Source organism: Homo sapiens, chromosome 9 (genome assembly GCF_000001405.40).
Source record: "Homo sapiens chromosome 9, GRCh38.p14 Primary Assembly".
Classification (NCBI taxonomy): domain Eukaryota; kingdom Metazoa; phylum Chordata; class Mammalia; order Primates; family Hominidae; genus Homo; species Homo sapiens.
The window spans coordinates 134,185,537-134,207,990 of record NC_000009.12 but is presented as its reverse complement, the minus strand read 5'-3'; the positions used below and the strand labels follow the sequence as shown (position 1 = coordinate 134,207,990).

At 49.4% G+C, this 22,454-nt stretch overlaps 1 long non-coding RNA gene across 1 annotated transcript in view, besides 3 other annotated features; it reads right to left on the bottom strand.

Moving 5' to 3' along the window:
* Positions 1 to 1,302: 1,302 nt before the first annotated feature.
* Positions 1,303 to 22,454, bottom strand: part of LOC124902298 (uncharacterized) — a 27,764-nt gene continuing 6,612 nt past the window's right edge. Inside the window, exons 2-3 of the long non-coding RNA XR_007061835.1 lie at positions 2,800 to 2,975; positions 1,303 to 1,640 (exon numbers count right to left, since the gene is read on the bottom strand). This is a non-coding gene — a long non-coding RNA (uncharacterized LOC124902298). The remainder of the gene's footprint in view (positions 1,641 to 2,799; positions 2,976 to 22,454) is intronic.
* Positions 3,267 to 3,766: an enhancer, noted in NCBI's record as "H3K27ac hESC enhancer chr9:137096071-137096570 (GRCh37/hg19 assembly coordinates)". NCBI's record gives its function as "activates a minimal SCP1, AML or CMV promoter by ChIP-STARR-seq in naive H9 embryonic stem cells {active_cell/tissue: H9 hESC(naive)}" and the evidence as "EXISTENCE:reporter gene assay evidence [ECO:0000049][PMID:30033119]".
* Positions 3,767 to 4,268: an enhancer, noted in NCBI's record as "H3K27ac hESC enhancer chr9:137095569-137096070 (GRCh37/hg19 assembly coordinates)". NCBI's record gives its function as "activates a minimal SCP1, AML or CMV promoter by ChIP-STARR-seq in naive H9 embryonic stem cells {active_cell/tissue: H9 hESC(naive)}" and the evidence as "EXISTENCE:reporter gene assay evidence [ECO:0000049][PMID:30033119]".
* Positions 22,145 to 22,354: an enhancer, noted in NCBI's record as "active region_29273". NCBI's record gives its function as "activates an Ori minimal core promoter by ATAC-STARR-seq in GM12878 lymphoblastoid cells {active_cell/tissue: GM12878}" and the evidence as "EXISTENCE:reporter gene assay evidence [ECO:0000049][PMID:35858748]".

The following is a 22,454-nucleotide window of genomic DNA, read 5'->3' as shown; positions in this document are numbered from 1 at the left end:
CCATTATGTAGTGGGAGGACCGGTAGGGAGGACCAGTGGGGAGGACAGGTGGGGAGGATGGTGGGGAGGATCGGTGGAGAAGACAGGTAGGTAGGGAGGACAGGTGGGGAGGACAGGTGGAGAGGACAGGTGGGGAGGACAGCTGGAGAGGATGGGGGGAGGACCGGTACGGAGGACCGGTGGGGAGGACAGGTGGGGAGGACAGGTGGGGAGGACAGGTGGAGAGGATGGGGGGAGGACCAGTAGGGAGGACAGGTGAGGAGGACAGGTGGGGAGGACGGAGGGGGAGACGGGTGGAGAGGACAGGTGGGGAGGACACGTGGGGAGGACAGCTGGAGAGGATGGGGGAGGACTGGTACGGAGGACCGGTGGGGAGGACAGGTGGGGAGGACAGGTGGGGAGGATGGGGGGAGGACCAGTAGGGAGGACAGGTGAGGAGGACAGGTGGGGAGGACGGAGGGGGAGACGGGTGGAGAGGACAGGTGGGGAGGACACGTGGGGAGGACAGCTGGAGAGGATGGGGGAGGACTGGTACGGAGGACCGATGGGGAGGACAGGTGGGGAGGACAGGTGGGGAGGATGGGGGGAGGACCAGTAGGGAGGACAGGTGAGGAGGACAGGTGGGGAGGACGGAGGGGGAGACGGGTGGAGAGGACAGGTGGGGAGGACACGTGGGGAGGACTGATGGGGTGGGGGCCCCCAGAAGGCACCAGAAGAAAGCAGTACAGGGCTGCTGGAGAATAGAGTAGGTTTGGCAACACAGAGGTTGCTGGAGACCTTGGCGAGACTTCTTTTATGCCAGATTCGTTTCTACAGGGACTGAGGAAGAGGAGTCTATAAAGAGAAATAGCTGTGGGGTGTTGTGGGGTTGGCGGGCCAGCTTGGCTGGGGGTGGCCAGGAATGAGCCCGCACACAGGGAAGTTGACAGGGCGGATGAGAGCTGCTCTGAAGCCATCCTGACCCCAAACTTAGATTTCCCCCCGGCTGCCTTTTGATTCTTATCCCTACCCCTAATCCCTCTTCATGCTGCAGCCAGAGGAGGCTGGGGTTCAGGGAAGACCGAGCTGCAGCTCCCCAGCAAATCCCGAGTCCCTCTCCGGCTCAGGAGGCCTGAGCTCCAGCCATGCCCTTTCTCAAGCCCCTGTAGGAAGCACTGCCTCATCCTCAGGCACTGCGTAGGCCTTCTCCACATGCCCCTGGTAAGCCTCACTCCTCATGGTCCCAAACTCTTCAGAGGCCTCAGCTGTGTGTCCAGCCTGGCTCAGGGTGGGCACTGAGACACGAATGCAGAGCCCTAACCTTCGACCTCCCACCCTCCCCTTCCTCTCTGCTCTAGTCATCCAGCTTCTTCTCGAATGTCTCCCATGACGGGGTGCTCAGCATCACTCAAGCCAGCTGTGTCCCTGCTTTGGGTTTTCCCCTGGTATGAGTTCAGGGCCAGAGCAGGGAGCCGGGGCCCATCGTAGTGCAGGGGTGGGGGCTCTCCCCAGCTGGGGGAGCGTCCCAGGTCTCCTGGGAGACCTGGGCACATGTGCAGCTGCTGTGCACAGGCAGGAAGATGGCGGCCTCCACTGACCAAGCTCTCAGACGACTCATCAGCTGTGACACACGCCTTTTCATTTGGACCCATTAGGGTAACCTGGTGGAAATAAAGCATCTGTCACACCCCAGGAAAGTGTCACACAGGTATTCCCAAATTCTCTTTCTCCACAGCCCTCAGAGGTCTGACGGCCATTCATACCCATCAACCGGGAGAAAAATCATGTCATTTCCATAATGCACACCCTCTCTGCAGAGGCGCTATAAATATGTAGAGATGACATCGCCGCAGCGTGGCTTGTGTGAGTGATGTCATCTCGGGGGGTTGCCTAGCAACCCCGACAACGTTTGGGAGGCTCTAATTCTTGAGTGGGATAAAGTCACATTTACGCAGTTCAGTTAATCAGCTTCCTGGCAACTCCGCCAAGATGATCTCATTTTATTCATGATTATTTTATGTGAAATGCACTTTTAGCTCTAAGAGAACACAAAGATTTAATTCAAAACTCGCTATTGCTTTGTGTTTCCAGGGTGTCGTTAACACGGCGTCCATGCAAATAACCATGGTAACACACGGATAATTAGTATATATGGCACGCGGTATTAATACAGAGCCGGGGCCGGCTCCCAATCAGCGCCGATTACCGCGTGTTATTACTGGAGTAATTACCTGCAGTAACACACAAATTGAACTAAATGGTCAATTGAAGTAAAGTGAATGGCTTTTTATTCTAGTTCCTAAATAATGTGTCTGCTTGGCTGAGTAGTTCAAGGTAAATAAAAGTCTTAAATTGATGGCCTCTTCCCCACCGCCCCTCCCTGGGTGGAGAATTGGGCTTCGTGGGTCTTGCAGTCTGGTAACCAGACAGTTACTCCTGGAAGCATCTGCCTCTCCTCCAGCCTCCCCACCTCGAAAACGAGCACCCCCATCAAGCATCCCTGCAGAGCTCTGGCCCTTATTAAAAATTCCCAAGCCCTGTGTGCCGTCTTACTCATCCCCCCAGGGAAGAGGGCACGGAACTTTCCAGATAGAAGATGAAGAGCAAAAGGCAGCGGCCTTCCTCCCAGGGATGTTTTCTTGCCCCTCTGGTAGGTGGGGCAGAAAGGAATCACTGGCTTCCTGTTACAGGATGGAAGCGGGGAGGGGAGGTCAAAGGTCACTTCTGCCTTATTAGCAGAGCGTTTCTAAAATTCCATAAACTTAGAAGATCTTCAAACAGGAAGTCACACTGGACCTCTCAAAGAGACAGGGCACATACCGAATTTGAGCTGCTTCGCTCCCTTCAGAGAGGGAGAGGGAGAAGGGAAGGCATGCAGACGATCCTTGGACTGGGCGCGGAGAAGATCAGATGCCCAGCGATGGGGACAGGGGATAGAGTCAGTCTTATTCTGGTCCTTTCTCTGTGACAGGAGCAGTGTTGGGACGGAAGCAGGCCTGGGGAGGTGGGAAAGAAACGTCAAGTCCTTCATTCAGCCCATCTGGGATGATGGGCCAGGGTGCCCACATGGGCATCGAACTCCTAGAAGGCAAAGACAGAGTGCAGAGGAGTATAAAGAGGGTCCGGCTGCTCGGGGTTTCTCTGAGGGAGCCGTATTTAAGCTGAAACTGGAAGGGTGAGGGAGGTCGCAGGGAAGGAGGTTGCAGGGAAGGAGGCTGCAGGGAAGGAGGGCTGAGGAGGACACTAGCAGTCAGGGAAGGGCCAGCAAAAAGCCCTGTGACTAAGAGAGGCCACTCCACTGCACCACCATCTTGAAATGTCACATGTGTGGAAATGCGTAAGTACAGAAATCTAGGAGAAGGAAAGAAAAACGTGGCTTAAAAACCCACAGCCATGTCTGCATTCCAGGGTGGCAGGGGCAGAATTCATTACAGGGCAAGCAAGATGCTTTGTTACTCAGAAAACCCTCTTAAGCGCCTTTGCTTGTCAAGGTAAGGCCACCTCTCTACTCTGGATTGGAGAGTCTGAGACCAACAAAGAGAACAAATTGCATTTCAAAACAAAGGGATTTTTGATCAAAACACTTGCAGGTGCACAGCTGCTCACACCCACTGCCCCACCACAAGGCAGCCATCAGTGCAATATAAACAAGGGGGCCCAGAACATATGCCTGGGCTGAAAACAAGACAAGCCTCTCACAAATCAGAAACAGAAGGAGCAGGGTGAGCACCACAGCCCACAGGGCTCCAGGTTGGGAGTGGCAGGATCTGGACTCAGCACTCCCAAAGGGCAACAGGGACTGGAGTCCAGTGCGGGCCAGGACACAGGCTTGGGAAAGAGGGCAAGAAAACAGCCCAGCAGCCTTGGTGCTGAAGTTATAGTTTAGGGACACTGCAGTCTATGGAGGAGGCAGGTGGTGGGGTTAGCAGGGAAGGGCTGATGCCACAACCTCAAAATGAGAAGCCTCACCAAGATGCCTTCTGCCTCCAGGACCGTATCTGCTTTGTGCTCCATGTCACAGCACTGCAGAAACACCACCTTAATACCTGATTCTAGACTAATCAGGGAGAGAAAGGGAGCAAACGATATAAAACCAGATGAAGAAAAACCTCAACTCCTCCCAATCGAAATGAGCAAACTAACATTTTAAAACACAAGAAGAAATGGTAGAGGAAGAAACTGATTTTGTATGGCAATCTGACAAACACTTCAAAATAACATTGTGTTCCATAATGACATAAAGTCTCACATCTATTGAAAAATGAATAATATATCAATATATCCAAAAATTGTATGAAATTGGACAAAATGGGCAAATTCTTAAGAACAAATACATAACTCATTGACACAAGCTCAAGAAGGAATAGAAAACTAATAGAAATAGAAAAACTAAGTAGTCCTATAACCATTCCATGAATTTAATCAGTAATTTTAAAAGAAAAAAACTTCCTAAGTAGAGAACCTCAGGTCTAGATGACTTCACCGGTACCAAATGTTTAAGTACAAGTTACAGTAATTCCAATCCTGCATAAACTTTACCAGAAAATAAAGAGGATATACTCCTCAATTATTTTGCAAGGATAGCATAAACTTAAAATCAAACCTCACCAAAACTATGAGAAAACTAAGACCTAAATAAATGGGCAGCATATATCATGTTCATAATTTAGAAAACTCAACATTATGAAGATGTTAATTCTCCCAAATTCTTGTTTTAAAGTCAGTTTTATTGAGGTATAATTATCTAGAGTATAACTTACCTTTTTTTAGTGTATAGTTCTGTACGTTTTAACAAACTGAAATAGTCATGTGACCACCACTGTAATCAAGCTATAGAACACTTCCATTGCTCCCCAAAATTCCCCAGACCCTTTTGTAATAAATTCACTCCCCCAGCCCAGTAAATTTATTCCCCCAGCCATTGATCTGTTGTCTGTTCCATAGTTTTGCCTTTTCTAGAAAGTAATTTTAGTGGAATTATAACTATGCAGCCTTTTTGAGTCTGGCTTCTTTTTTGAAAAATCATTTATTTCTATTAAAATAGAGACAGGGTCTCGCTATGTTGCCCAGGCTGGTCTCAAACTCCTGGGCTCAAGCAATCCTCGTGCCTTGACCTCTCAAAGTGCTAGGATTACAGGAGTGAGCCACCACACCTGGCCTGGCTTCTTTTACTTAGCATAATTCACTTGAAATTCACTTGTGTTTTGCATTTATCTATAGCTCATTCAATTTTCTTGCTGAGTAGTATTTTATTATATGGACATACCATGGTTTAAAGAATATTTGAATTGTTTTTCCAGTTTGGGACTATTACAAATCATGCTGCTATAAACATTCATCCACAGATTTTCATGTGATTTATCTTGAATAAATATCTAGGAGTGGGATTGCCGGGTTATATCATAAGTATATGTTTAACTTTATGAGAAACTGCCAAACTGTTTCCATAGTAGCCATGCCATTTTGTGTTTGCATCAATAATGTACAAGAGTTGCAGTCGCTCTGCATTCTCACCAACACTTGTCATTGTCAGGTTTTAAAAAAGCCATTGTAACAGCTGTATAGTGATATCTCAGCATTTACATAATGACTAATTACATTGAGCATATTTTTATGGCCTTATTTGGTATCCATAAATATTCTTTTGATGAAGTGTCCATATCTTTTGTCCACTTTTTATTTTGGTTGCTTACTTATTATTGAGTTTTGAGAGTGTTTCATATATCCTGGCTATAAACTCTTTATCAGAATTGTGTTTTGGAAATGTTTCCACCAAATCTGCGAATTGTCTTTTCATTAATTTTTTTAATTTTGATAAGGTCTAATTTATCAAATTTTAAGCAGGTTGTGTTTTAGTTGTCAGATATAAGAAATCTTTGCCAAAACCAAAACCACAAATTTTTTTCTGTTTTCTTCTAAAAGTTTTATAGTTTCAGATTTAAAAGTTAGTTTACGTTCTGTTTTTTGTTTGTTTGCTTGTTTTTTGAGACAGTCTTGCTCTGTTGCCCAGGTTGTAGTGCAGTGGCACGATATTGGCTCACTGCAACCTCCGCTTCCTGGGTTCAAGCAATTCTGCTGCCTCAGCCTCCCAAGTAGCTGAGACTACAGACGTGGGCCACCATGCCCAGCTAATATTTATATTTTCAGTAGAAACAAGGTTTCTTCATGTTGGCCAGGCTGGTCTCAAACTCCTGACCTCAGGTGATCCTCCCAAAGTGCTGGGATTACAGGCGGGAGCCACTGTGCCCGGCCTAGGTTGTGTTTTGAGTTCATTTTTGTATGTGGTGCAATGTGTGAGTCAAATTTCATTTTTTTTTTTGCATACAAATGTCCAATTGTTCCAGAATCATTTGTTTAAAAGATGGTCCTATATTGAGTTATATTGTAACTTTGATGAAAATAAATTAAGTATATATACATGGTAGTGTATTTTGGTTCCACTGATCTATTTGTATACCCTTTGCCAACACTGCACTGTCTTGATTATCATAGCTTTAAAGTAACTCTTCAAATCAGACAGTGAGAACCCTCCAAGTTTTGTTCTTTTTTCAAAGATATTTTGGCTCTTCTAGTCTATTGCCTTTCCATATACATTTTAGAATCAGCTTGTTGATTTCTATAAACACTCCTGCTGAGATTTTGATCGAGATTGTATTAAATCCCAAATTTCAGAATAATTGACAATTTAACCATATTGAGTCTTTCAATTCATGAACATAGTATATCTCTCCATTCAGGTCTTCTTTGATTTCTTTCATTGGTGTTTTTCAGTTTCAGCATAATGACATTGTACATGTTTTGTTAAATTTATACCTAAGCATTTTACAGGTTTTGGTGCTATGGTAAATGGTATTGTTTCCTTTCTAATTTCAATTTCAAAGGATTCATTTCTGGTCCACAAAATTATAATTACTTCTTTTTATATTGACCTTGTATCTTATGACATCGCTACACTTGGTTTTTTGGGTTTTTTAGAGATGGGGTCACTGTTGCCCAGGCTGGAGTACAGTGGTGCAATCATAGCTCACTGCAGCCTCAAACTCCTGGAGTTCCCACTTCAGTCTCTCAAGTAGCTGGTATTACAGGCATGAGCCACTGCACTTGACAAAATGAGCTCTGTCTAAGAAAGCTGAGTCTGGAGCAACAGACCCAGAGTAAGCCAGTCTCAAAGGTGACCAGAAACAGTGTGCTACTTTTATTATTATTATTAGAGAAAGGGTCTTACTTTATTGCCCAGACTGGTCTCAAACACCTGAGCTCAAATGATCTTCCCACACCAGCCTGTTGAGTAGCTGAGACTACAGGTGCACACCACCATGCCTGGCACACTAATATTAGTTCTAATAACTTTTTCATAGATTTTTTGAGATTTTCTATATAGATAATCATATTGAATGGAAATAGAAGCTGTTTCATTTCTTCCTCTCCAATTTGTATATCTTTTATTTCTTTTTCTGGCCTTATTCCACTGGCTAGGCTTTCCAGTACAATAATGACACTGCATACCTTTGCTTTCTTTCTGATCTTGGAAAATATTTAGTATTTCATTATTAATTAGATATTAGCTGCAGGTTTTTTGTAGATGCCTTTTATGAGGTTGAAGAAACTCCTTTCTCTTACTGGTTTGCTGAGAGGTTTTTTTCATGAGTAGATGTTGAATTTTGTCAAATGCTTTTTTCAATATCTATTAAGATGATCATATGGTTTTTCTTTTTTAATCTGTTGGTATGATGAATTACATTAATTCCTTTTTTTTTTTTGAGACAGGGTCTCTCTCTCTCTCTCTGTCACCCAGTCTGGAGTGCAATGGCACAAACACAGCTCACTGCAGCCTCAACCTCCTCAGCTCAAGCAATCCTCCTGCTTCAGCCTCCCATATAGCCAGGACCATGGGTGTGCTCCCCCACCCAGCTAATTTTTTTAATTTTTTGTAGAGATAGGGGTCTCACTTTGTTGCCCAGGCTAGTCTCCAACTCCTGGTCTCAAGTGATCCTCCCACCTTAACCCCTAAAAGTGCTGGGGTTATAGCCACCATACCTGGTCTGATTATTGTTATTATTATTATTATTATTATTATTATTATTATTATTATTATTATTGAGACAGGGTCTCGTTCTGTTGCCCAGGCTAGAGTGCAGTGGCTCACTACGGCCTCAACCTCCTCGGGCTCAGGTGATCCTCTCACCTCAGCCTCCCGAGTAACTGGGATTACAAGTGTGCATCACCATGCCCATCTAATTTTTTTTATTTTTCATAGAGACACGGTTTTGCCTGTTGCCCAGACTGGTCTCCAACTCCTGGGTTCAAGTGATCCACCCACCTTGGCCTCCCAGTGCTGGAATTACAGATGCGAGCCACTGCACCCAGCCCTGATTGTTTTTTGAATGTTGAACCAGACTTGCATCCTTGCATAAACCTCATTGGTCAGATGTGTTATCCTTTTCATATATTGCTGGATTTGATTTGCTGGTATTTTATTGAGGATTTACGTGTCTTTGCTCATGGGGAATATTGCTCTATAGCTTTCTTTTTCTTTTTTTTTTTTTTTTTTTTTTTGCAATGTCTGGTTTTGATATCAATGTAATGTTGGCCTCATAAAAAGGGTTGGTAATTGTTCCCTCCTCTTCCATTTTCTGGAAGAGATAGTGTAGAGTTGGCATTAATTCTTTCTTAAGTATTGGTAGAATTCACAAGGAAAGTCGTCTAGGCCCAGAGTTTGTATTGTTGTTAGGTTTTTAACAACAAATTTAATTTCTTTAATTTATATGGTACCATCTATTTTTTCTTGAATGAGCTTTGGTAACTGTCTTTCAAGGAATTTGCCCATTTTTTCTAAGTCGTAAAATGTGGGAACATAAAATTGTTTGTAACATTCTTTTTGTTTATTTCTTTAGAGACAAGGTCTCTCTCTGTCATCCAGGCTGGAGTGCAGTGGTGCGATCATAGCTCACTGCAGACTCTAACTCCTGGGCTTAAGCAATCCTCCCACCTCAGCCTACCAAGTGGCTGGGACTATAGGCCCACACAATCATGCCCAGCTATTTGTCTGTTGGCTTGGTTTTTGTAGGAAATCCTCTTGCAGTGTTCTCTATCTCATCATCTACCTAATTACAGAAACCAGAAACCAGAAACCTCAAACCCTCACCCCCAAATCTAGTCTGTCCCTACGTTAGTTGATGTGATCACTTTACACTGTTTATCCCATCAGACTTTCCTCCAGAAGCTGCCATCACCACCAGCACCAGCGCCAGCACCAGCTCCTTAATGCACATCATTGCCTACATGATTAAGGTGGCTTCTAACTACTCTGCCCACCTTGCTCCAGCAACTCTCCTATCTACTCTATGGAGGGGAGCTGGAATGAACCTTCCAAAAGTCACAAACCTGACTGCATCATCCCCCTGCTTAAAACTCTCCAAATATTTTCTATCGTTTTATTGTTTTAATACCAACTTTCTTTTTTTTTTTTTTTTCTTTTTCTTTGAGACAGGGTCTTGCTCTGTCACCCAGGCTGGAGTACAGTGGTGCGATCACAGCTCACTGTAGCCTCTAACTCCCAGGATCAAGTAATCCTCCTGCCTTAGCTTCCTGAGTAGCTGGGATGACAGGCACAACCACCAAGCCCAGCTAATTAAAAAAAATTTTTTTTGTAGAGACAGGGTCTTGCTATGTTTCCAGGCTGGTCTCAAACTCCTGGCCTCCCAAGTGATCCTCCTGCTTTGTCCTCTCAGGGCACTGGGATTACAGGTATGAATCACCACGCCCAGCCTATAATGTTCTGTATTAACCTTTAAATATCTGTAGGATCTGTAATGATATCCCCTCTTTCATTTCTGATATTGGTAATTTGTGTCTCTTTTTTTCTTGATCAGTCTGATCAGAGCCTTGTCAATTATATTAATCTTTTCATAGAAGCAACTTTGGTTTCCTTGATTATGTTTTCCTATTGCTTTTCCATTTTCTATTTCATGGACTTCTGCTCTTGTCTTTAGTGTTTCCTTCCACCTGTTTCCTTTAAGGTTGTTTTTTGTTTTTTATTTTTGAGACAAAGTCTCGCTCTGCCACCCAGGCTGGAGTGCAACAGCACAATCTCGGTTCACGGCAACCTCCGCTTCCCAGGTTCAAGCAATTCTCCTACCTCAGCCTCCCCAGTAGCTGGGATTACAGGCATGCACTGCCACCACACCCAGCTAATTTTTTGTATTGGTAGAGACAGGGTTTCACCATGTTTGCATGGCTGGTCTCGAACTCCTGACCTCAAGTGATCTGCCCGCCTCGGCTTCCCAAAGTGCTGGGATTGCAGAAGTCAGCCACCGCGCCCAGCCTGCTTTAAGTTTAATTTGTTTCTTTTTCTAGTTTCTAAAGATGGAAGCATAGATCATTGATTTCCTTTTATTAATATAAGCATTTAATGCTATAAATTTTCCCTTAAACATTGCTTTAGCTATATCACACAAAGTCAATATGTTCTGTTCAGACATGTTATAAGAAGTCAGTATAGTTTATTTTGGGCAAAAAACTTTGAAATTCCTATGTAGCTTATTCATAATAGGCATTTTCCATGAAGTTGTCGAAGACCCCCAGAATCCCACTTTACAATCCCAGTTTAATTTTTTAGTCATCTATTGATCCATTTGACAAACATTGTGATGCTTAGTGTATATAAAGCACTATGCTAGTCTGGTCAGAGAGATGGCTATTCATCAAACTATCACATAAATAAATATACGATGCTGTGAGGCAGAGGTTAAGGAGGATGCAGCATGGGTCAGCCTCTGGAGGCTGAGGAAGAGCTAGCGCAGTGCAGAGCACCAGCACGGCAGTGGGACTGGCAAGCGTAGAGCCCTTGACAGAAGCAGGACCTTCAAGGGGTTGCATGAGGAAGAGGAGGGGCCTTCTGGCCTGTGATGAAGCTGGAGGGGTCAGCAGTGGCCAAGCTGTGCAGGTTTCTGCAAGTCAGGTAGGAAAAGTTGATACCGGCCAGGTGCAGTGGCTCACACCTGTAATCCCAGCACTTTGAGAGGCCGAGGCAGGAGGATCACTTGGGGCCAGGAGTTAGAGACCAGCCTGGGCAACACAGCAAGACCCCATCTCTACTGAGAAATACAAAAATTAGCCAGGCATGGTGGCACACACCTGTGCTCCTGGCTACTCGGGAGGCTAAGGCAGGAGGATCACTGGAGCCCTGGAGCTCGAGGCAGCGGTGAGATGTGATTGCGCCACTGCACTCCAGCTTGAGTGACAGAGCAAGACCCTGTCTCAAAAGAAAAAATAATGATAAGGATAAAAAAGAAAGTTAGTATTAATACAAAGAACAATAGGCAATATTTGAAGAGTTTTAAGCAAAGGGATGAGGCAATGGCGTTTGTATTTTAGAAAGGTCACTGCAGCTTCCCTCCGTAGAGGCAGAGGTGCCAGAGCACATGTGGGCAAAGTAGTTAGAAGTCACTGTATTTTTTTTTTTTTTTTGAGACAGAGTCTCACTCTGTTGCCCAGGCTGGAGTGCAACGTTGTGATCTCAGCTCACTGCAACCTCCACCTCCTGGGTTCAAGCAGTTCTCCCTGCCTCAGCCTCCTGAGTAACTGGGATTACAGGTGCCCACCACTATGCCCGGCTAATTTTTGTCATTGTTGGGTTTTTGTTTTTGTTTTTTGTTTTTGAGATGGAGTTTTTGCTCTTCACCCAGGTTGGAGTGCAATGGTTCAATCTCGGCTCACTACAACCTCTGCCTCCTGGGTTCAAGCAATTCTCCTGCTTCAGCCTCCCTAGTAGCTGGGATTATAGGTGCTCACCACCAGGCCCAGCTAATTTTTTTTTTTTCTGTATTTTTAGTAGAGACGGGGTTTCAGCATGTTGGCCAGGCTGGTCTCAAACTCCTGACCTTAGGTGATCCACCCACCTCGGCCTCCCAAAGTGCTGGGATTACAGGTATGAGCCACCGCACCTGGCCTAATTTTGTATTTTTAATAGAGATGGGGTTTCGCCATGTTGGCCAGGCTGGTCTCAAACTCCTGACCTCAGGCAGTCCACCCACCTCAGCCTCCCAAAGTGCTGGGATTACAGGTGTGAGCCACCGCGCCCAGCCAGAAGCCACTTTAATCATGTAAGCAATGATGTGGATTAAGAAGCTGGCACTGGTGTTGGTGGTGATGGCAGCTGCTCTAGGAAAGTCGATGGAAAAACCAGTGTAAAGTGGTCACATCAACTATCATGGGGCAGACTAGATTTGGGGGCGAGGGTTGAGGAACGTTAGATTTCTAGTTTGTGTAATCAAGTACATGATGAGATAAGAAGACTGCAAGAGGACTTCCTTTTTCCTGTGGTTGTGTGTGTGCAGATTTTTTTGGTTGTTGTTAAGGCATGAAGATGTGCAAACAGGAAGAATCTCATTTTTTTTACCTAATTCCTTCATTCGAGTTATTTATATGTGTATTTCCTCAATTAGCTTATGAGCTCTTTCAGTCCAGGAAACACTTTTTATTTTCAAATATAACCCGAGAGCTTAGCTCATAGGTTTGTTTGTTTGTTTAATAGCATGGCTTTCCTTAAATTAAAAAAACAGAGAAAAAACGTTTTAAATAAAATTAAGCACAGCAACATAAAAAACACTTTCAATATCAGTAAAACACAGGACAAGATTCAAGGAAATCCATGTAGAGGCATTATTAGTATTTTTGCTAACTTGGACTATCAAAGCTTAATCTGATCTTGACCTTATTTTTCAACTATATAATAATGCCTTAAAAATATTCAGAATCTCTATTCTAAAGTCAGAACTAATTTTTAGGATTGAAAAAAAAAAAAATGGGGCCGGGCACAGTGGCTCATGCCTGTAATCCCAACACTTTGGAAGGCCGAGGTGGGATCACGAGGTCAGGAGTTCGAGACCAGCCTGGCCAATGTAGTGAAACCTCGTCTCTACTAAAAATATACAAAATTAGCTGGGCGTGGTGGCGGGCACCTGTAATCCCAGCTGCTCAGGAGGCTGAGGCAGGAGAACTGCTTGAACCTGGGAGGCAGACGTTGCAGTGAGCCAAGATGGTGCCATTGCATTCCAGCCTGGGCGACAGTGTGAGACTCCATCTCAAAACAAAAAAAAGAAAAAAAAGTTTATATGTTGTGTTTTTTGCTTCTTGTTGTTGTTGCTGTTATTATTATTATTATATTTTTAGACAGAGTTTTGCTCTTGCTGCCCAGGCTGGAGTGCAATGGCGCGATATCGGCTCACTGCAACCTCCACCTCCTGGGTTCACGCAATTCTCCTGCCTCAGCCTCCCAAGTAGCTGGGATTACAAGCATGCACCACCATGCCCAGCTATTTTTCTATTTTTAGTAGAGATGGGGTTTTACCATGTTGGTCAGGCTGGTCTCAAACTCCTGACCTCAAAGGCTCCACCCACCTCAGCCTCCCAAAGTGCTGGGATTACAGGTGTGAGCCACTGCACCCACTGTTTTTTTAAGAGACAGGTTCTCACTATGTTGCCCAGGATGAGTTCCTGGCCTCAACTCATCCTCCTGCCTTGGCCTCCCAAAGTGCTAGGATGGGATTACAGGCATGAGCCACTGTGTCCAGCCAATATGTTGCGTTTTAATTTTCATTCAATTCCAATATGTTGTAATTTCCGTTGCCGTTAACCATTCCCCTGTGGCCCTGGGCAGACAAGACAAGCAGGGGCTGGGGGACACATAGGCGGGGACTCTGGGATTCTGCACTGCCCCAGGCCAATCCCCAGAGAGCGCCTCGAAGGAGAGAGGCTGTATCAGAGTTCCCAGGCCTTCCTGAATGCCTTCCCAGCACAGACTCTCTCAGGCCATCCCGCCTGGGGTGGCATTAGGGCTGCAGTCTTCCTGATGCTGGGCCCCTCTTAGCACCCAGGGCCCACTTCACCCATGCTCCAAGGGGGACGGGTCCTTCCCTGGGTAGCTCTGTGTCTACTGGCCTCACTGCTGGCCAGGGAGAGTGGGTTAGCACCTCCTAGTCTTGATGTCCCTGAGCGCACGGCACTCATTTTGGAGTAGGGAGCATTAAGATTCCTTATCCAAGGTCACCCAGCCAGGAGGGTCTGGTGTCAGAGCAGAAGTGGGACAGGAGACTTCCGGAGGTGTCCCCAGGACTCGGGAAGGCTTACTGCAGGAAGCAGTGCTATAGGGAGCCAGGGTCTGGTGTGTGGCGCCAGCATCACCCCGCTGCTCTCACTCTCACTTTCCTTATGGAACCTGAGGGGGCATCTGTGTTTCTGAACCAAGAGGCAAGGACATGTTTGAGAAGAAATGCCAAGTCCTGAACCACAGCTTCACCTCACAGCCAGCTGTGACCCTGGCATGGCTGCTGGCTCTGCTCATGGGGCAAGGCGGGCAGAGGATGACCCAGAGCCCCTGCCTCACCGTGCTCACCTTGGACCCCTCCTGTTACTCCTGGGACGAAAAAGGGAAGCGAGGGAGAGAGTGAGGGCAGTGGGCAGGTGTGTGGGACCTGCCTTGGACACTGAGCTCGCCCAGGGTGCCGCTCCCAGGAGGCTCTGCCCTGCCCTGCGGGAGGGTGCCTTTTCCACGAGTCCCCACTGGCCACAGGTGCCCAGCCCAGGCCCTGGCAGGAGGCAGTGGCTGGCAGGGCCCCAGCCCAAGTGCCTCTGTCGCACTCACCACCCCCGCACACTAGGCCCCTGATGCAGCGTCCTCCCCCAGCCCCTTTGTGCTGATGGCCCCCAAGCTTCTCCAAGATGCAGAACCTGCTAGTGGCATCGTGTTCTTGTACCAAATTAGCCACACTTAAGTGCCCGCTGCCTGAGCCCCCTGCAGAAGCTGACTCACTCACTTGAGGCCACTCGAAATGCACAGTTCCCCGGAAGCCCTCGCCTTCCACCCAAGGCTCTGCCGAGGGCCTGACTTCAGCAGGAGCTCATTTTAAGGGGCTAGGGGCAGAGAGTGGGGGCTCCAGCCATTTAAGGAGGCAGCTGTGCCCGCAGCTTCGCTGCAGCTCTGCGGGGGCAGCTCAGTCATCTGCCGTAAGAGCAGCCCTGTGCAAGAGGAGACAGCAGCAGATCTAAACCTCAGGCTGTCCAAATCAGGCCCCAGGAGAGAGGAAGCCTCAGAGTCTTCCTCCTGAGTCCTCCCGTTGGCCTCTCTGGGTGGCTTGAGCAAGGTGAACCCAGGGGGCTCAAGTCCTGGGGGAAACAGAGGGGCTCCAGGTCCCAGGGTACAGCCCGCAAAGCCCTGGCTTGGTGTAGCTGCTGAACGCCTTGGGCAGTCACCTGCTCCTCCAGGAGACTGAGTTTCATGGTAAACCAGGTCTCTGCATTCCCCTGAGCCCCCACCAGGACTGACCCCAGGGCAGAGATGCAGAAGCCCAGAGAACCCCCGCTGCATCTCCCCCACCAGCCCACCTCCCAGTGTGTCCCCCACCAGCCACACCAGCCCACCTCCCGCTGTGTCCCCCACCAGCCCACCTCTCGGTGTGTCCCCCACCAACCCGACTCGCCACACCTCCTCCTGGTGCTCCTGCTGAGACCCGTGCTGTCCCTATCCCACCAAGAACCCCCAATGTCACTGACGGAGCAGCAGAAGGCCTGCTGGTTGGGGCCAATCCAGTGCGGGGGTGAAACTCTAAGAAGGCAGGTCAAGGGGCTTTCAGATGAGCTCTGCCCGGGTTCAGTCCCTCCTACCCCACTGCTCTCTGGCTGTCTGACCTCAGGCAAGTCTCTGACCCTCTCTGAGCCTTGGTTTTCTCATATAAACCTGGGGATAATCATTCCTGCGTCACTGCATCTGAAAGATCGGCCCAGTGTTTGGTACGCAGCAAAGTCTGTGGACACCTGTTGAACAATTGAACAAAAGAATGAATGAGTGGGCCAGGCATGGTGACTCAAGCCTGTAATCCTGAAAGTGAGTGAAAAATGAGTGAATGAGTGAGTGAAAAATGAGTGAGTGAGTGAATGAGTGAATGAATGACTGAAAGGATAAGTGAATGAATGAGTCAATGAATGACTGAAAGGATGAGTGAATGAGTGAATGAATGACTGAAAGGATGAATGAATGAGTGGATGAATGACTGAAAGGATGAATGAATGAATGGGCGAATGAATGACTGAAAGGATGAATGAGTGAATGAATGAATGTGTGAGTGACTAAATGAGTGAGTGAATGAGTGCCTGCTGACAGCACTCTCAAAGCTCCATGCCATGGGGCTGGTGGTTTCAGCTTCTTGGGAAGCTCCTTGGGGAAGGGACCCCAGATAGGGTGCGCTGCTGTGCAAAGAGCACTGGAATGAGAGTCCAGAGACACTGGCATCAGCCCAGCATGGTATTTTCCCACCCGTGACTGCTGCCCTCTCTCAGCCATAGTGACCTCTCCTGATGGCCGCAAACAGTAATTCCTGGCTCACTGGATAGCAGGGAGGTGGTAAAAGTCAAGTTCTCTGCCAAGGGAGCCTGGTCTGCGGCATTATCACCTCTCTAACCACCACAATGGCGCTGATTCCTATAAACTCTGCTAAAGTCTGTGTTTTGGCCCAGCCACAGTGGCTCATGCCTATAATCCCAGTGCTTTGAGAGGCTGAGGCAGGAGGATGACTTGAACCCAGGAGTTCGAGACCAGCATGGGCAACATGGTAGGAACCCTGTCTCTACCAAAAAAAAAAAAATAATTAATTAATTAATTAGCTGAACATGGTGGCTCACGCCTGTGGTCCCAGCTACTTGGGAGGCTGAGGCAGGAGGATCTCTTGAACCTGGGAAGTTGAGGCAGCAGTGAGCTGTGATTGCGCCACTGCACTCCAGCCTGGCTGACAGAGTGATACCCTCTCAAAAATACAACAAAATCTGTGTTTTGTTAAATTAAAAAGTTATACATAAACGGAAGACCCCACCACCCCCTTTGGGGGACACCTCCAGAGGGAAGGTAGGACCGTCAGCCTTCAAGCTCCAGGGTCAGGGCCCCACCTGTTGAGTCCTTGGTGAACACCTGCCCGAAGCTGCAAGCCCCATTCTGAGGGAACAGAAGGACAGGAGTCAGCCTTGGGAAGAGGCGGGAGAAGTGCTGTGAGCAGTGGCCCTGCTTCCAGCCACTCGGACGACTGGGAAGTCCAGGCCACGCTCCACACCCAGAACCCGGCCCCACAAAGCCGCCCAACAGGAGCCGACGCAGGGACCAAGGGTCAAGAGCCGATGGCAGCAAGGATGGAAGTAATCTCAAGGCCTGGGACCTGCCGGGACCCGTGCTCAGCCCCCAGAAGGCTCCCGGGGCCTCCACAGTTGGGAAGTGGGGCAAGAGCAGGTGGCTCGGAGCTGAACTGGCTGAAATTCTGCCCTGGAACATGCAGTTCTTTCTCTGCCACGAGCTTCTCCATGCTGGGCACTGTGCCGGCCCCTTCACGGGTAAAGGGGAGACCCACGAGCCACCGGCAGCTTTGTCACCAGGACCCAGCATCCGCTCTCAGAGAGGCCTCAGCATTTACCGTCAGGACACAGGGGCTGGAACCAGGGCCCAGAGCTGCACCATCCACCATGGGGCTGCTGGCCTCGCTGGCCCCGGAGTGCTCGCAGGTGGCCGGCTCTTAAGGGGACCATGTGCCTATGAAATACAGCCCTGTCCCAAAGACTCAACATGAAAAGTGATTGCAGGAGGCATTGTTCTGTGTTGATTACCTGTTGAGATGACTGCATTTGGAGTACGTTGAGTTCAAAGCTCATTATTGAAACTAATGGCACCTGTCCCGTTTTCCCTTTGTAGATGGTTGTTACAAAATTGAAACTTTGCTGTGTGGCTCACACGCATTCTGGTTCCTGTACAGCGCCGGTCTGGAACCCGGCTGCGGGGAGGTGGGAGGTGGACGGTGGGATGGAGAGGCGCATGGTAGGACGGAGAGGCCCAGGGCCTTGGGGACACACTGGGGAGGGCACTAGCCACAGGGAGCCCAGCAGGGGGGCGTGTGGCTGCGAGGAGGAGCCCCTATCCCACTCTGCTCAGTGCCCTGGGCCTCACCCGGGGTCTCACCAAGTCTCCCTGCTCCGGACTTGGCCTTCTCGGCCTCTGAGCAAGACCTTCGGGTCCTTACTCCCACCACGCGCCTGGGTTGGACCTGCTCCATCAGGCCCTGCTTTGCACCAGATGGAAGGAGGGAGGGAGCAGGAGAGCCCGTCCTCCCATGGCAGGGCCACCTCGGCCACCCCACCAGCAGCTGCTTCAAGACCAGCAGTGCCACCCCCCTCTCAGCTGCCACCCCCTTCAGACTGCCAGGAAAAATGAATAAGCAATTAGCTATCCCTCCCAGCCACCCTGCGCCGGACGCCCACTCCCTCGCCTGCCTTTCCGCACCTCCTTGCTCTCTTTTCACCTCCCTCTCTCTCCCTCTTCCTCTCTCTCTCCCTCTTCCTCTCTCTCTCTCTCTCTTGCTCCCAACCTCCCTCCACCACTCTCAATTTCTGCCTCTCTCTCTCTGTTGCTTTCTCTCTGTCCTCTCTCATCCCCGCAATGGTCTCCCGCCCTCTCTGCCTCTCCACTCTCCCTCTGTCTCTGTATCTCCCTCTGTGTCTGTCTCTCTGTCTGAGTGTATGTGTCTCCCTCCCTGTCATCTCTCTCTCTCCCTCTCTCTCTGTCCTCTCTCGCCCTGCCCAGTGGTCTGCCCCCTCTCTGTCCCTCCACTCTCCTTCTGTCTCTCCCTCCCTCCACCCCGCACTGCAGCGCCTAATAGCACCGGCGGAGTGGGAAGCGGAGCCGCGCCGCACACAGTCACAAATCTTCCATATTACTCCCTCTCCTTTATTTACACCGGGCACACAGTAGCAATTCAATCTGAAAAAGTACCGTGTTTTCGGAGGCGCGCAGCCCAAGAAATTGATGTTTGTGTTAATCGGTCTTGTAGGAGCCTGCGGGGCTCAGAGAGGTGTGACGCAGGGATTTCTTCTATTGATTAATTGAATTCCGGGCAGGGAGGATGGGAAGAAAAATCAAACCCTCCAAGTACCTGGAAGCTTTGGAGCTAGGTCAGGCGCCCTGCCAACCCTTGCCCAGCCTGAGGTGTGGGGGGTCCCCTGGGCTCTGAGCCCCCATAATGTCCTCTTAGCTCAGCCTCAAACCTGGTCGGGGGTCAGGACTCCAGCTCCAAGGCCGGCTGTGGCTGGCTCGAGGGGGACTTTGGGGTCACCCCTCTCCTGTCTGGAAAGGCTGGAGACAACCCTGCCTCTAGCCCCCTCCCACTGCCCACCCAGCAGGTCAGAAGCTCCAGGCCTCCGTCCTGAGGACGCTGTGTCCCCCACACCCAGCGTATCCCGAGTTTGGGCTCTGGACGTGAGCAGCAGCATGTGGGCTCAGAGCCCCTTGTCGGCTTCCCTGAGCCTCCGCCCTGCCCCCCACCATGGAAAGTCTTTGGGCGCTGGCCTGGAGCCACGTGTCTGCTGGCTCAGCCGGTGGAAATGAGGCAGCCACGTGGGTATGGGAGCCAGCGTGTCCTCCCAGACGGCCACCCCAAGCTTCCATAATCCAAGACCCAGACTCTGCAGACAGCTGGAGGAGCGTCTGTGACCTCCCCGGGGACCTGGGAGGACCAGGAGGCAGCAGGCAAGAAGGAGCTGTGGACCCACAGGAGGGACAGGACAAACACTCGGGGTCAGAAGGCTCTGCATTTGGATGGCACCTAAAAGGTGACCTCAGAAACTGACACTGCCATTCACGGTTCTCATTAAGGGGGGTGGGACAAACAGACAGCGTTCATCAGGCCCATTTTATGGATGGGAACACTGAGGCTCTGACAAGGGATCGCCCAGCTGGAGAAAGATGGAGCCAGGACTTGCTACCAGGCCTCAGGACCCCAGGGCAGGTCCTCCGTTCCAAGTTTCCTGGTCCTCAGGAGTCCAAGGACCTGGGCCTGGCCACGATCCTCGTCACCCAGGGGGGTGGTTGGGAGGTGCAAGGTGGACTGGCTCCAGCGCATCCTGAGGGGGCTGGCCAACTGACCACTTTCCAGATGGCTGAAGCTTTGCACATCTGGGAACGAGGGCACTTGCCGGATAGGTGCATCAGGAAAACCATCAAATCACTCCTCCCTCTCCAGGCAGAGAGCCCCGGCGCCATCTTCCAGGAGGCATTCACGTTAGAACAATCAACATGTACAAATGCATCCCTTGCCTGTCCTACAGCATCGTCACCACCAACCAAACACCTGCTGGGTGCCAGTGACTATGTTCTCAGTATCTGCGACCCTATCCCAGAAGCTCTGTCCCATCCCACGGAGGCAGAAACTGGGAACAGGGACTAACTTCATTTTTTTTTTTTTAAAGACAGAGTTTTGCCCTTTCCCCCAGGCTAGAGTGCAGTGGCACAATCTTGGCACACTGCAACCTCCACCTTCCGGTTTCAAGTGATTCTCCTGCCTCAGCCTCCTGAGTAGCTGGGATTACAGGTGCCTGCCACCACGCCCAGCTGATTTTTGTATTTTTAGTAGACACGAGGTTTCACCATGTTGGCCAGGCTGGTCTTGAACTCCTGACTTCGTGATCCGCCCGCCTCAGCCTCCCAAAGTGCCAGGATTACAGGCATGAGCCACTGCACCCGGCCAAACCAACCTCATTTCAGTAGTGGGAAGTCGGGGTTCCTCCACAGGCAGAGGTCGGCTCCCCGGCCTTTTCTTAGGCTGCCGATAGATGGCAGGACCTGCATCTCGCTGTTTTCCCCGCAGTCCTGTGACGGTGGGGCAGAAAGCACTGGGGCAGAAGCAGAAGGGATTCCTGCCCTGCCTGGGCCTCTCGCTCCCAGGCCTGCTCTGGGTGTCAGGCACATTGGCCCCATTACCTGACCTCAGCATGCCCATCTGTAAAATGGGTCTGAAGAGAAGCCTCAGCAGTGCCCACCACCCAGAACACTGTGCTAGGAAGCAGGTTTCTGGCACCATTCAGGTGTGATCTTGTCCAGAGCAAACGTGACCTCCATGCCCCTTGATGGAATGCACTGGAAAAGCTCAGGGAGCCCCTGGCTTGCCTGCTTTTTTGGGGGCAGGGGGGCTAGGTCAGGGGGAACAGAGGCATGGGGATCCAGGGTCCTGTCTGCCTTGGATGCTCGTGGGCTGCTGCCCTGGGCTAGCTCCCCTCGTGCTCACTGTGACCCCCTCAGAAGGACTTCCCATGACACCGGAGAGCTGAGCCCTGGGCGAGGCGCCCAGCCCCTCAGACGCCAAAGGAAGTGGATTTTTAAGGATGAGCTTTTTAAAACTGCTAATTGGGTGACTCTTGCCCCATTTCCTTGCACAAGCTCACACACACACTTGCATATCTTGCCGATTTTCCAACAAACAAAGCATAATTTGTGTTACTGCAACAGAATGTCCTGTTTAGGCTGACAGGAGCCAACGGGGGTGACCCTGAACCATCCTACCACGAAACGCACTTCCAGGAAGAGTTCATCGGACCAACACGCAACCCGCAGCCGGAAAGCGTCCAAGAGCGCAGAGCAGAGCCTCAAAGGGCAGCCAACCCCCAGCCCCAGCCACGCCATGACCGCACCTGGCCCGGGGCCACTGTCCCAGCGCCCCCCCTCCCAGGCCTCACCCTTCAAACCACCCAACACACACACCCTCAAGACCACCACCAAGGAAAAAGTGAAAGTTCAACTGCAAATGTAAATTATGTAGCCCAAGACAAAACTAAAGGACAAAGATGATCTTGGGAAAACATTCGGAATCCACGCAATTGAAAAAGATTTTATATTATTAATATAAAGAGCTCCTGCAAATGCGTTTAAGAAAGACGGCCATCCCATTAGGAAAAAAAACAGGCTATGGCCAGGATCACCAACTCACACAATGCAGCCAACAAGTCCGTCAAATGTGTGACTGCACAAAGCTCCAAATGTAACAATTAAAAGGACGAAGACATCTCTTTACACCTACTAAATTGGCAATGATTTTTATGTTAATGACACGGAGGGAAAAGGCCGTCAGTTTCCCCACTACCATTCTAGAAGGAAATACAGTAGCAATTTTTACCCACACACAAAACATCTGACACATGGGCAGCCCCTCGGCCCAGGAATTTTACTTCGTGCCTCCCTGATCAGAGGAATGGGCGAGGGTGTTTGTCTAATGTGGGGGTTTCCAAGGCAGAGACCTTCAAACAACTCTTCAGTGGGAGGGGCACAGCCAGGTGCAGTCTGCACACTTTCTCTTGTTTTATAAAATGTAACACTTCGTGGTTACTGCTTTTTTTCTCTTTTTTCAGGGACGGGAGGTCTAGCTCTATTGCTCAGTCTCCCATCCCAACCTCGGGAGTAGCTGGGACCACAGGCGCCAGCAACCATGCCCAGCTCATTTTTTTTAATGTTTTGTAGAGACAGGGGTCTCTCCGTGTGACCCAGGCTGTACTCAAACTCCTGGGCTGAGGGATCCTCCTGCCTAGGCCTCCCAAAGTGCTGGGATCACAGGCTAAGACACACTACACACACCACAAACCACACACCACTGAGTCACATGGCAGAAGATCTCATGAAA